At 40.0% G+C, this 13,663-nt stretch overlaps 1 long non-coding RNA gene across 1 annotated transcript in view; it reads right to left on the bottom strand.

Annotated features, from left to right (window-relative positions):
- Positions 1-11,533, bottom strand: part of LINC02712 (long intergenic non-protein coding RNA 2712) — a 65,964-nt gene extending 54,431 nt beyond the window's left edge. The window contains exon 1 of the long non-coding RNA NR_120580.1: positions 11,430-11,533. This is a non-coding gene — a long non-coding RNA (long intergenic non-protein coding RNA 2712). The remainder of the gene's footprint in view (positions 1-11,429) is intronic.
- Positions 11,534-13,663: the final 2,130 nt, after the last annotated feature.

The following is a 13,663-nucleotide window of genomic DNA, read 5'->3' as shown; positions in this document are numbered from 1 at the left end:
TGACATAGGAAGATAATTAGAAAAGAAGAGTGAAAAAAGGAGAGATAAAACAAAATGTGCTAGGTCACAAGTCATTTGAATTTTATTTTGTGGGAAGTGAGTCACTAAATGTGCTTGCTTCACCAGGCTCTAGTTGTTTTTTTTTTTTCCTGAGACAGAGTCTCGGTCTGTTGCCAGGCTGGAGTGCAGTGGTGTGATCTCTGCTCACGGCAACCTCCGCCTCCCAGGTTCAAGCAATTCTCCTGCCTCAGCCTCCCGAGTAGCTGGGACTACAGGCATGTGCCACCACACCCAGCTAATTTTTGTGTTTTTAGTAGAGACAGGGTTTCACCACGTTGGCCAGATGGTCTCGATCTCTTGACCTCATGATCTGCCTGCCCTGGCCTTCCAAAGTGCTGGGATTACAGCACGCTCTATTCTTATACCTGTTATAGCACTTGCCTTGTGAGTTACCAACAGACATATCTATTTCTCCATTATAATCTGAAATGACTCCTCAGCACTGAGGACCTGGTATCTCTCTGCTCCCATGACTCCTACTAATTCCTTCCATGATATCAGGTATCCCACTATATTACAATTGCCTGTTGAGTTTCTGTCTACCCTGCCTGAGTGTAGGTTGATTGAGTGCAAGGATTTTGTTTATTTTTTTTCTCCATTTTATTTTTGTCTTGTTCATGCCTAGCATCTAGCACAGTGCCTGGAATATAATATGACCTCAATTAGTTATTATTGAATGAATGAATGATCGTAATGTAATCAGTTTGATTTGAGGCTATTCTCAGCATACTTAGGGCATCCAAAACAAAGGCACACTTCAAATTTGTCCCTGCAAGCACTAAAGAGTTGTTTAGACTTTTGCTGAGTCCACAGTTTGGCAAATGGGGAATGATATCATATTGCATATTATGCCAGAAGACTTTTAAGAAACTGCCCTTTACCTAAGAGACAGAATAAGAATTTTAATGCATTGTCCTTTATTGGAACCCTGTTTAGAAAATAAAATTTAAATATTAAAGACATTTTTGAGATAATTGGGAGATAATTGATATTAGATGAAATTCAGAAAGTATTTTTGTTAGATGATAATGGAATTGAGTTATGTAGAAGACTGTTTTATGGTGATTTTTAAATATAGCTACAAATCCTTTCACAGTCACATTGAAGAGGGGGATCTTTGTCCCTTCCACTTGAATATGAGTGTGCTTATGCCTACTTTGACTGTCAGGATTCAGTGGAACTGATGATTCATAGCTTCCGAGGTGATACCAGAAAAGTCCATGCAGGTTCCATCTGGTTCTCCTAGAACATCCTTCTCTGAAATTCCCTTTCTTAAGAGGCTCCCATTCTGAACCCAAACACATGATGTGAGATGCTTCCCTTCCACGACTGTGCCCAGGATGAAAGCACAGGGAGGGGAAACATTTGGCTATTCCAGTCCACAGGCCCAACTAAACCCAAAGTTTGAGTCATTCCTGAGCTTATTTGCCCAGAATCTTCCAGATAATTTCAGTCCCCAGACATGTGAATACTCCTGGCTGAAATTCTAGATATTGTGGACCAGGGACAAGCCATTCCTCTGTGCATTCTTGATGCATAGAATGAGTGTAATGAAACAGTAGTTATTTTGTACCATTAAGTTTGGAGGGGTTTGTTAAACAGAAAAAGTAACTCAAACTGTCCCCATGATATCTTTAACTTACTTTTAAATGGTTCCAAATAAAAGTGGGTAAAGATAGCCAGATAGGTATATTGAACTAATTCAACAAAAGATTGATAATTGTCAAATCTAGATGCAAATATATTGTTATGCGTTGAAATATTTTTCCAACCATTCTGTAAACTTTAAAATTTTCATAACGAAGTTTTTGTTAAAGTGCTTTTAAAAATCTTTCTTCCCCCACCCCCAAGTTCTTTTTGTCACAGAAACCTACATTTATGACTCATGTATCTCTTTGATTTCTCAGACATCTCTTTCTCCTACTTCCCTCAGAGCCATTTTCTTTGGTGTCTATGCCTTTCCCAGTGAAAGCAAGAAAAACTTTCTCTCTTCTTTGGTATCTGTTATTTTACAAGGCAGAGGGTTTATTAGGAATGTAAATACTAATACTAATACATCCTTTTTTTCAAATTAATAAAATACTTTAAAAAATTTTAGAAACTACTATGATTAGTAAAACAGAAGACTTTCATTAAATTTGATGTTTATTGGTAAACCTACAGCAAAAACTCCCTGCATTCAAAACTTAAAATTTTCTGAAGCAATGCTACAGATTACTATTCTCGTGAAAGATAGCAAAGCTTGTTTTTAACTGATTACAAGTCAAATCCAAGGCAAAAATAGGGGAAAATGATCTAATTAAAAATGTTTCTTTCTCTGTCCTCTCCACCCCGTATTTCCTTTACTGCATGATTAACTCTTAATAGCCCAGCAGAAATTCTTTCCTCCTTTACCAGCCCCTGGTCACTTCCCCAAATAATTGTACCCCTTACCTCTTGAAGAGCCCTGCTCCCCTGAGGAGCAGAACTAGAGTGAACCTTGGAATCCCAATTCTGTTATAGACAAAATCCCTTACATCTTTGATACTTTCTTTAAGTACTCCTCCCCATGTGGCCACATAAGTTGAAAACTACTTTTCTCCTTGATAACACCACTTCCTTCCTATATATCCTTTCCAATAACATGAAGAAGAAGAGGAAGAAGGAGGAGAGGAAGAAGAAGAAGAAGAAGAAGAAGAAGAAGAAGAAGAAGAAGAAGAAGAAGAAGAAGAAGAAGAAGAAGAAGAAGAAGAAGAAAAAGAAAAAGAAGAAGAAGAAGGGGAGGAGGAGGAAGAGGAAGAAAAAGGAGAAAAAGGAGAAGAAGGAGGAGGAGGGGGAGGAGGGGGAGGAGGGGGAAGAAGAGAAGGAGGAGGAGGGGGAAGAGGAGGGGGAGGGGGAAGGAGAAAGAGAAGGAGAAATAGAAGAAGAAGAAATAGAAGAAGCAGCAGAAGCAGCAGCAAGCTATTTTTCACTGAGTACATAACATATGGTGGGTTTTATGCTACTCTCTTTTAATAATTATTTTAATCAATCATCACAGCAATCCCATGAGGTGAGTTCACCATTATTGCTGCTTTAGAGACGAAGAGACTGAGGCATAGGGTGACTGAATAGCTTATCCATGTCCACCCAGTTGGGAAGTGACAGAAACAGGATAGAAACCAGGTAGTCTGATCAAGAACCCATGCTTGTAACCATTACACATATTGTCTTCCTCAGAGATCCTCCTAATAAGCTCTATTTCTCCACTCTGCCACCCAGAACCAGAAGGGATCATTCTGTGTACACCGCAGCATCCAGAACAGTGTCCCTCACCATCCCCAGACATCTGCTACTACTTGAATCCCATACCATAATGTCCTCACCGTCAACCTAGCTCCAGGACATTCACAGCTTCTCCCTTGACATCGGCATGTGAATTCCATTATGCTTCTGCCATCTTTCCCTGGAACTATATGCCAACATTTATTCTTATGATCTCATCACTCTCTAGCACCTTCAGAGACTAGCTAATATATCTACCATCACAGCTGCACATCACCACCACTCAGGTTCTTGAACTTGCAACCATTTTTAAAAATGATTTCTCTCTTCTTATTCTCTACTTCTCCTTCACTGGCACTTCTACTGAACTGGGTTTCTTTCCTAGCCACAAGTTCCAGTAACCATGCCTTTCCTTATTCTCTTGTAACTCCATTCCTGGCTCATTCCTCTTCCTACTCACCTTAATGTTATATGGAGTCATTTCACCACCACTTTCCAATGCCTCACTTTCTGTGACATTTTCTCTTTGATAGTTCTCAACTTTAGTAAACTACCCTTTGCTTTTTCTGTTCGCCCTCCAAGGCTGTAAAATGCAACTAGAGAATTGCATGAAAATATGTTTAATTTTTGTTAGCCATTTTGCTAAAAGATTAAGTCATTTGAATTGAACTCAGCTGGCCTTTCCATCTCATCTTAATCTCATCACCTCCTTATCTCACATCAGTTCCACATTTCATTCTCCCTGGTAGTTACCAACGTTCCTATCTCCTCATCCATCCAACCCACCCATTTTCTTACCCATCTCATCCCACGCATCTCACTCCCAGGCGATCCTGAAAATTATGTGCTTGACCTGCCATGAGCCTAGAATGCCTTTCTTTGCTCTCTCTCATTCAAAGCTCCTAAACAGAAGCAGTCCATGATTCCTCTTAAAACAAAACTCACCACCTAGGTTGTTTCCCTACCACTTTCTGCTTTCACAAAGATCTTGCTGTATCAAAAATTCCCCCACCCTTTGTCTCATAGCTTGAGCCATTCTCTCTGCTCTAGCTGTTTTTGCTTTATTTACGAACATATTTCTATCTCTCTTTACCTATAAAATTCCCTTCTGCTGTCTTGCTAATCTATCTCTTGCTATTTTTAAACTGCTATCTATCCCCTCAACAAAGTTGTGTGCCCCCTCAGTGAAGAAAACTGCATTCATATCGTAACCATCCATTAGCTCTTTGCAAGATAGCTTCCTCTTATCAGTCTCTCAAAATGGTTCTCCCAAGGATGCCGGTGATCTCTACATCACTAAACCAACAATTGTTTCTTAGCCCTTATTCCCTGACTTTTCTAAAGAATTTAAAATCTTTAATTATTCTCTTTCTCATGAAATTTTATCCCACATGGATCTCTTGTTCTCTTTCTTTCTTCTCTTTCTTTGTAATTCCTCTTTCTCAAAATAAGACTCCTGAGGTCTTTTATCATCTGGTTCCATTAGATCCCTTGCTTTTTCTAAGCTCCTGCAAATTGGCACCTCTAGGCAAATTTACATGCAAATGCATATTTTCAGCCTCTGCCTACTTTCCCTGGACCTCCATTCTGGAATTGCCAAAGTGCTCCCGGATATCTCCATAAACTGCACACACATTTAAGACCCAACATCGAAACCTGGACCCCCAAAGTTTTTACCATAACTAGCTGATTGCTGTGTTTGAGACCACGCACTCCTCAGTACAATAAATCACGAAGTTCTCAAATTTTGCTTTGGAACTCCCACTCCTACTGAATTCTCTCACTAGCCCTTTACCTGGATGTCAATAGCCCAAACAGTGCAGCTGTCATCATAGCACTCCTCTGCTCAAGAGCCTTCAAAGGCTCTCTACTGCCACCACATCAAGCCCAACGTTTTGAACTGACTGTCAATTACTTCCATGTTTTATCCACCCTAATTTTTCAGCATTATCTCATCTTCTATTATGCACTTATTCACTTACCTGATAGACCAGTGTTTGAAAAGTTTAAATTATATTAAAAGTGTGTGTCAACATCGTGTATAAAACAATGGTGTCTATCGCAACATACCTCTAAATATTCTACAGGAGAGTGTAGTGGTTAAAGTCATGGGTACTATTGTCATAATAAAGCAGTTTAGAGTCCTAGTTCAGCCCATTTGGAAGTTGTATGTCCTGGGAAAATTACATAATCTCTCTAAGCCTCAATTTTCTCATCTATAAAATGGGTGCTTTTAAGAATTAAATGAAATAGTGCAAGCAAAGTGCTGCCCACAGTACCTGGCATGTAAGTAATAGTTTAAATGTTTACTGTTTTTGCCATGTCAAATTGTTTTATAATAGTATCTTTGCTACTTTAATCTGGGCCCCACCCAGAGTTGGCCTCATCCCAAGCCAACTGCATAAGCAAGCAATGCATTTCTATAACAGAGAATTTGGACTGAGTCTCATCAGCCAGTGTTCTATTATCTTTGGTTGGAAGAAACTAACCATGTGATTTATAATCTCTCACTTTTCTGAAGGTCACTTAATTTGATGAGTACAACTGTCCAAAACCAATAAAACCAGAAAATGAGCATCTGAATGTTCTGAGCAGCCAAATAGAAGTACAAGGTAGCTCCCTTACTCAGTGGAGGTTTTTTCACTGGTGTTCTCTGTCCTCTTTAACCCCGAACCAGCTGACCAGGTTCTTTCTGAATGGGAATCAAGTATCTGAGTTCTAGTTCTGAATATACCAGGAGATCTGTGTGTGACCAGGTGAAGGAAATAAATTTTCTGGGCTTCAGTTTTCTTATCTGTAAAATTAAAAAAACAATTAGAAGAATTTTCCCTACTCTCACCTAAAATCCCCAGGAATGGCACATGTTAGGTAATCAGCAAACAATGTGCTCAGTGAATAAATAGCTGCTGTGAGGTCAGATGAGTTATTAAGAGCAATCACCCTTCAAAATATGAAACAATAATTTAAATCTATATCACGCATTATTAAATACCAGATGATAAGTACCCTGAACGCCTAGGTTCAAAGGATTTAATCATTTCAATGACACCTCTCCATCTTCCCAAAACCTTCGGCCTCTCATAAGAGCCCTTCCTAAACTCTTCATGGCAGCAGTGTGCAGAAAAAAGCAAGGCAGCCATCCGAGTGAGCCAGTCTCTGTGCATTCCCAGCACTTGGGGATCTAACTAAATATCAATAATTTCTCCAGGATGCCCGTTACTCATTCCTTTTAGCATTCAGTGAGGTCATAGAGCGAGGGAGGTCCGTGATGCAGCGGGAGCTTCTGGCTCCTGTCACCTGGTCTGTCTGCTCCTCATGTAACCCCAGCCCGCAAGCAGGCCCAGAGGTGCCTCCCTTGCATGCAAGCCCCTGAGCTCGCTCCAATTGTCTCCAGGAGTCTCGGCCCTCTCTCGGCTGGGAGGAAATGACTGAGGTAAACCTTGGCACCACAAACCCCACAGCCATAAATTTCACTTACATCTAGTAAAACACAGGCATCCAAGTAAACCCATAATCCTATAAACTTGCCAGCAATCAAGCTCACAGTTTAACATGAAGATGGACAGGTGCACTCAATCAATACCATCAAGGTTACAGCCTGCATTTTGTAGGCTGCTCCTGTGTTGAATCTTCTGTTGTTCTTGTTGCTGTTTGTTTTCTGCCTGGGAGGAAATAACGAATGCTCTTGCTTAGTCCTCTGTTACATTGCCCTGTGCTTTGGAGTGCAGCTAAACCTTGAGGCTGACCAGATGTGGAATGTGCAGGAGCAGAGAGGCCCTTCTTGGTGTGGTCCTGCTCTGTACCCAATCCCATGACCCCCAGCCTGGAAGGCCACTCTCTGGCCAGATCAATGACTTAGACTCCAGTTGCCTCTAAGATATAAAGGTAATTTTCTCAGCCTGGGCTCGGGATCTCTGCCCCAGGGGCATCTGACTTTTCCATGGATTTCCTTGACCCTCTAGCTGCCATCATGGGCTGCTACCCACCAGGAACAATTTACCCTGTGTTGGGTTGCTATGGTTATGCAATTTACAGGGGAGTTGATATAAAGATTAACATTTGAAAGAGTATTTTTAAAAAGTTCATCGGTTAACATTTCAACAGGCAACAGCCCCCTGAAACTACAAGGGGAGAAGCTGTGACTCCCAGCAGCTTTCCCCAGATGCATCTACCGTCTCTGTGCATCTTCCTCCATCTCCTTTATTGACTCCATGCTTCTCTCATTCTCTCCCTTCTGCATGACTTTCACTCTCTTCCCCTCCCTCTACAGACCTCTTCCTTGTTTCCTCCCACTCTTTATTGATTTGACCAACACATAAGCAACATCTACTCTGTGTATGCCTCTATTTGCATCGCCCCTTCTCTTCCTCTACCCTTGCCCAAAATAAACTTACCTCACCTGATTATTATATGAAAGTGAAGTTATAGCTTTATTTTCACAGTATCGCCCTTTTTATAAGAATAAAGAAAGTGTCTATACATGCCTCTCCATAGATTTCCTTGATGTTGAATTATCTCTCAAAATTTTTCTTACTTCTCTTATCAATTGAAATAAAGATTCATAATGGAAAACGTAAATGATCAGTAAAGGAAAATACATCTAAGAAACAGACTAGATCTGCCCTTTGACAGAATCAAAAGAGATTTTGGTAGCTAAAGACTTTTTTGTCTGCAAATTCTAAATGGCATTCCTAGTCAGGCCTTCTGACTATTGACTTCCCTGATGCGGATGTTCTCTGTTGGCTCAGGTATCAGGGCCCAGTATTTGCCAAGTCTTGTTCATTATCCTGGGGGCATGAGTCATTACAACATACAGAAGAAATGTTCCTGGCAGAATGCAAGTCTGATACCTGCAAGTAACAACATCAAAGAGATAGGAAGGCATTGGAAGAAATCCAAGCCTATTTCTCATGTAAGTATCTATGTTTCTCTTGTCCACAGTTCAGGCAATTCTTGAAGTTGAGGTAAAAAAAAAAAAAAAAGTGGTTAGGTGGCATAAAAATGATTGCTAAGAAAATCCAATCACGTAGCAATATTCTGTCTTAAAAAGTCATACAACTCACACTCATTAAAAAATTATGTATATTCTCATACCAACATGATGTTGCTGAAACATGATCCTCACTGGTTAGATCCTCACGCTGGAAGATAACACAAGAGCAAGTCTGCTTTTACACTCTCTACCTCCCAGCAGGTAAACCAGAAAATAAACCCTACCTGCTCCAAGTCAAAGAAGCTGATTTGAAAAACATAACCGCAAAATAGGTCTTCAAATGTCAGAGATATTAGACTAACATGAATAACCACCAGAACCAGTGGTCTACTCCCCTAACCTGGTGCTTCAACTCACATAGTTTTGTTTAATTTTTGAGACAACCTCATGTCTTTAATATTATTGCTATTTCCACTTTGTGAGTGAAATGTCAGGGCCAGAAACGAGATATCAACATGGTTTATGCACCATGCTGCCCCTCCTGGGCTTGGACTGACTTGACATGGATGAGAACTAGTCTAAATGCCATTGGCAAGTGGGCAAAAGATGCAATTATCCAGCACACTCGGTGCTGGAAGAGTAACTGAGCAGCTCTTTTCCCCTCCTGCCTCTCCAGACCTGGTGATAGGGCTAAACCCTGCAAAGAGGGTAGACTTCAGCTAGTGTGGATAATCTCCTTCAGACACTGGTGGATGGGAAATATATAGATATATATACTCTGTCATTAAAATAGCCCTGTTTTTCTAAGCTGCTAATAGGATTATTCAAAATGTTTAAAGCAAAATCCCAAAGCCTATTATTGGTTTGCCAAAGAAACTAAGTCCTTTTTTAAAAAAATTTAATCTTTCTATGAATGTTGATTCTGAGTCAGGAAAACAAATGGGCACCAGTTTCTCAGCCATGCCAGGCACTCAGCATCCAAGGACTTCTCGAGTCTAGTGTGCTTCCCCAGTGTTTTCACTAGGCATTGGTCCTTCCGTTGGGCACCTCCTCTTCCTCTCCGTGCCTGGACCGCCTTGCTCCTTCCTTGCACCCCCACAGAAACATGGAATGCATCAAATGCCAGCTCAGCAAGACTTCCTAAGGTACCTATGCAGATGCAGCCAGTAATTTCATTCTTCCACTTCACACTCATTTGGGATGGTAAGAACACGCAGCTGCCTGATGGTTATTTTTTAAGTGCTCTTCAGTCACTTCAAGTTAGCATGTTTTCTCCATTAATGAGATTTTAAGGAATTTGAGGACTAAGAAAGATTTCTGTTTCTTTATTCTGGATTATGCTATCCCTCTCTCTTAACTCCAATTCTCCATCACCACCACACCTCATGATATGGTTTGGATCTGTGTACCCACCCAAATCCCATATTGAAATGCAACTCTGAATGCTAGAGGTGGGGCCTGGTGGGAGGTGATTGGATCATGGGGGCAGTTCCTGATGGTTTTGCACCATTCTTTTGGTGCTATTCTCATGACAGAGTTCTCACGAGATCTGGTTGTTTAAAATTGTGTGACGCCTCCCCCATCTCTCTTCCTCTTGCTCTGGCCACGGAAGACAAGCCTGCTTCCCCTTTGCCTTCCGCCATGACTGTAAGTTTCCTGAGGCCTCCCTGCTGAAACTGAAGTGCTTACATCCTTCTACTTGATGGGTCTCATATTTTGCAGTTAATGGTAGGAAACTACAATTCTATAATTACAGTTATAGAAATTATAGTATATAATTATATTTCTTTTTATAATATTACTTCTCCTTTTACCTTATTTGATATAGTTGGCTAGCCACTATGCTTCCTGTATGGCCTGCAGAACTGTGAGCCAATGAAACCTATTTTCTTTACAAATTACCCAGCTTCAGGTACTTCTTTATAGCAATGCAATAATGAATTGATACATTTCATGAATATCCCATGTGTTGGCATATGCAAAATACACAGTGCTGATTGATTAGGAGAGTGCCAGGGTCAGGTATCAGCCTTGGCAGAAGGAACTGCTTTTCGTCTGAAATTGTGATCATAAGTTCGATTAAACATTATGGAACATCTTTTTGAAAGAGAATATCCAAGCAAATAAAGACTAAAGAGTGAGCTGCATAGAGATATAATATCTAGAGTGGTCAAACAGTTGTAAACATAGGTTTACGAGGTCTTTTATAGAAGTTATTTATGAAATGCAGAGCAGAGCACCTCTCCAGGTAGATGAATCACTCCAGCATGTTTCTTCTGCCTCATCTCTTATTTCTTTTCAGGCTCCATCCTCTTTCTCACCTATATGCCCTATGCCATGGCCACTAATATTACTGAGTATTGCTTAAACATCACCTCTTCTATAAATACCTTCTCTAACCACTGTCTGCACTCCCCACACCTCCACACGTCCCCTGACAGCTGTACAGCTGTCTCTCGTGCATCCAAGTTCCCATGACACTTTGAGTTGAGCTCTACTTGATCTTCTATTATAATCAATTCGTATTCATTTAAAAAATTTCCAATGCCAAGAACATAAAGTAGGACCATAGAGCTCATAATAAGTGTTTAGTGAACATTCGAGATATGAGTTGCTGAATGAAGCTGACTAGTAAGTCTTATTTCTCCTAAGCTGGGTTTTATCACCATGTCATTCTCCTTTATGTTTCTACTCTAAGCACAAACTGCTGAAACTGGAGTCCTTCCCTCCTTCTACCTGATGAGCCTCCCATTTTGCGATTAATGGTAAGAAATTACAGTTCTATAATTACAGATACAGAAATTATAGTGTATAATTCTATAATAATAGAATATATTTAATAATAGAATTATATAATAGAATATATAATAGAATTATATTTCTTTTTAGAATATTAGTTCCCGCTTTACCTTATTATATATATACTCACACACATAAAAACTCTAGTATGATATAGTTGCATTCTGCCTAGGTGGATGGGGAAGTCCTCTTGGATTGTGTTTGAAGGGTTAGGTAATTTGTCTGAGAGATATGGGGAGAAGAGTTGATATTATGGAGAAAGAGGCAATTAACATCACAAGGTCATTAAACTGGCAATGGAAGAAAGCACTGATTTACATTCCCCCCAAGCCATCTGGGTGCCTTAAAATAGGAGACAGTCAGTAATGAAAACAAAAAAAAAATTTGAACATACCCATTTTGTAGACCCCTTGGGTTTGGATTTCAGTAGAATCTGCATCTTGGGAGGACTCTGAGTCAGTCTGCTACACTCCGATGCCTATGTTTTCAGAGCTAAGTGACACCCAGAGCAGGAAGAGATGGCAGACGTGCTAAGAGGGGAAGGGGAAGTTAAAATGCCAAGAAGAGCAAATTGAAAAAGTGGCTACTCAGTGAGAACTATAAGCCAAACAAAATCTGGGGTTTGGAGACAGCTGGAGAAGAAGACATTGGTTTTTAAAATTTTGCAACAAAAATTTTGATCAGGCAGTTCATCTTATATTAAAAAAACAGAAACCATCACATATAAAGCCCCTCATCCTCTGAACATCATATGGGCAAATACATTTTTCCTTTATTTATCTTCTTCTTCCCTCATGTAACAAAACGCATCCCATCTACTCATTTACTCTAGTTAAAAAAACAAAAACGAAAAACAAAACAGTTATCTTTGATTCCTCTTGTCTTTCTTCCCCATCAACCATTGAAACAGTAAATTCTTAATACCCCTTGAATCTGTTTCCCACGTGGTCCATCTTCACAGTCATTACCTGTATCCAATTGGCCTTTCTCTCTCGCTCTCTAGCCTGGCTGCAATGTTGCTAACCCTTATGCATCCCTAAGCTTTCCCTAACTACCCTATCGAAAGCAGATCCCTTCCACAATTGTCTATTTTTCATAGACTTCTCACAGATTGCAATTATTAATGTGTGTTTTTTAACCTGTTCTTAGATCATACATTAAAATGTAAGCTTCCTGAGGACAGGTGCCATGTGGAACTGTATTGTTCACTGTGTTATCCCCAGGGACCACGATTGTGCCTTAGACATAGTAGGCTTTCGGATAGTTGAGTGAACTCAGGCAATGCAGATAAATTTTAAAATCAAATGTGAAAGTATTGTAATCTTTTTACAATGCACTTTTATGACTTTCAGGACATATAACATATTCCTGATGAGACCTAAGGTATTGAATGGATAAGACTCATTTATAGTTGGCAGCATCTATTTGTACCCATCTGCATCCCAGTGATTAATGCCAAGTTCTTAGAAGCAGTCTGCTCCCTTAAGGAGGCAGAATTTATGTTTAAATCTGATGCAAGTGGACTGAGTAATAGGATAACTTGACTATATATTGTTTTGAATTGTTCTCTAGGTGTCTCACATGTGAGAGCCTTTTCAAACTGATTGTAAGATCCTCAATAGGGAGGAGTTTGCCCTCTAATTTCTCTTTATTAAAATTCTAGAAACTGCAAACTATTCTTTCCTCTAATTCTAAACAAAGAGCATGCATGAGGTAAGGGGTGTGTGTGTGTGTGTGTGTGTGTGTATGTGTGTGTGTGTGTGTGTGTGTTTGATCGCAATGCTCCACTGCCAGTGTCCCAATCATGCCTATGAATAATGTGTGAGAATCTCGTAGGATCTTTTAATCTAAGTGAAGAATGCATTTCTGCTGTGCTTCCCTGTTATTTTCTATTGCTATTCAGAATAAAATTGAAAAGAAAATGTGGCATAATTTCATATAAATAGTCTGAAATATTAATTCTATGACGACAAGAAACAACGTCTGTTTTGTTCATTGTGGATTTACCAGTCAGCACAGAGCTTCATGTCTGGTGCATTGTAGGTGCTCAATAATAGCAGCTGAACTGATATAAAAATTCCTTCTGGTTTGGATGATTTCCATAGAATATTGGGTCTTCTTCCTGGCCCAGTACTTACTTCACTGGTCTCATAGTAGGCACTTGCAAAATAAACTCCTGTTGATTTCCTTTGACAGCTTGGGTTCCATCAAGTCAATACCTTCTTATGGGTCCTGTCTCTCCAGCTAAGCTCTTTTGGGGAAATGATATCTTCCCAGCAGTTTCAGTGGCTATGTAGTTTATCTGTAGGCAGCTTTAAAAACAGGCCAACCAAACAAGGGGCTCAGGGATCTAAAAGGATCTTTAATATAGCCAAGCTCATGGGGGCATCCTACAGGTCTGAGCCCTGCAGGATACTCAGGGAAGGACACTGCCCATCTCAACTCCCTCTGGCACTCCCAGAGTTAACACTTCAAGCCTTTATCCCTGTACCTTTTCTGTTCTCAGATAACTCTGAAATGGCTGGATTAAGAATGTCAAACTTGGCCTTTAGGTAATCCTCAGTGCAGAAGTCAGCAGAGTTAAATTTGAAGGGAAAAATGGTTAAAAGATAAAGAAGTTCTGAAGCA

Source organism: Homo sapiens, chromosome 11 (assembly GCF_000001405.40).
Source record: "Homo sapiens chromosome 11, GRCh38.p14 Primary Assembly".
Lineage (NCBI taxonomy): Eukaryota > Metazoa > Chordata > Mammalia > Primates > Hominidae > Homo > Homo sapiens.
Note: the sequence above shows the minus strand (reverse complement) of the source record. Positions and strands in the feature narration are given on the sequence as shown.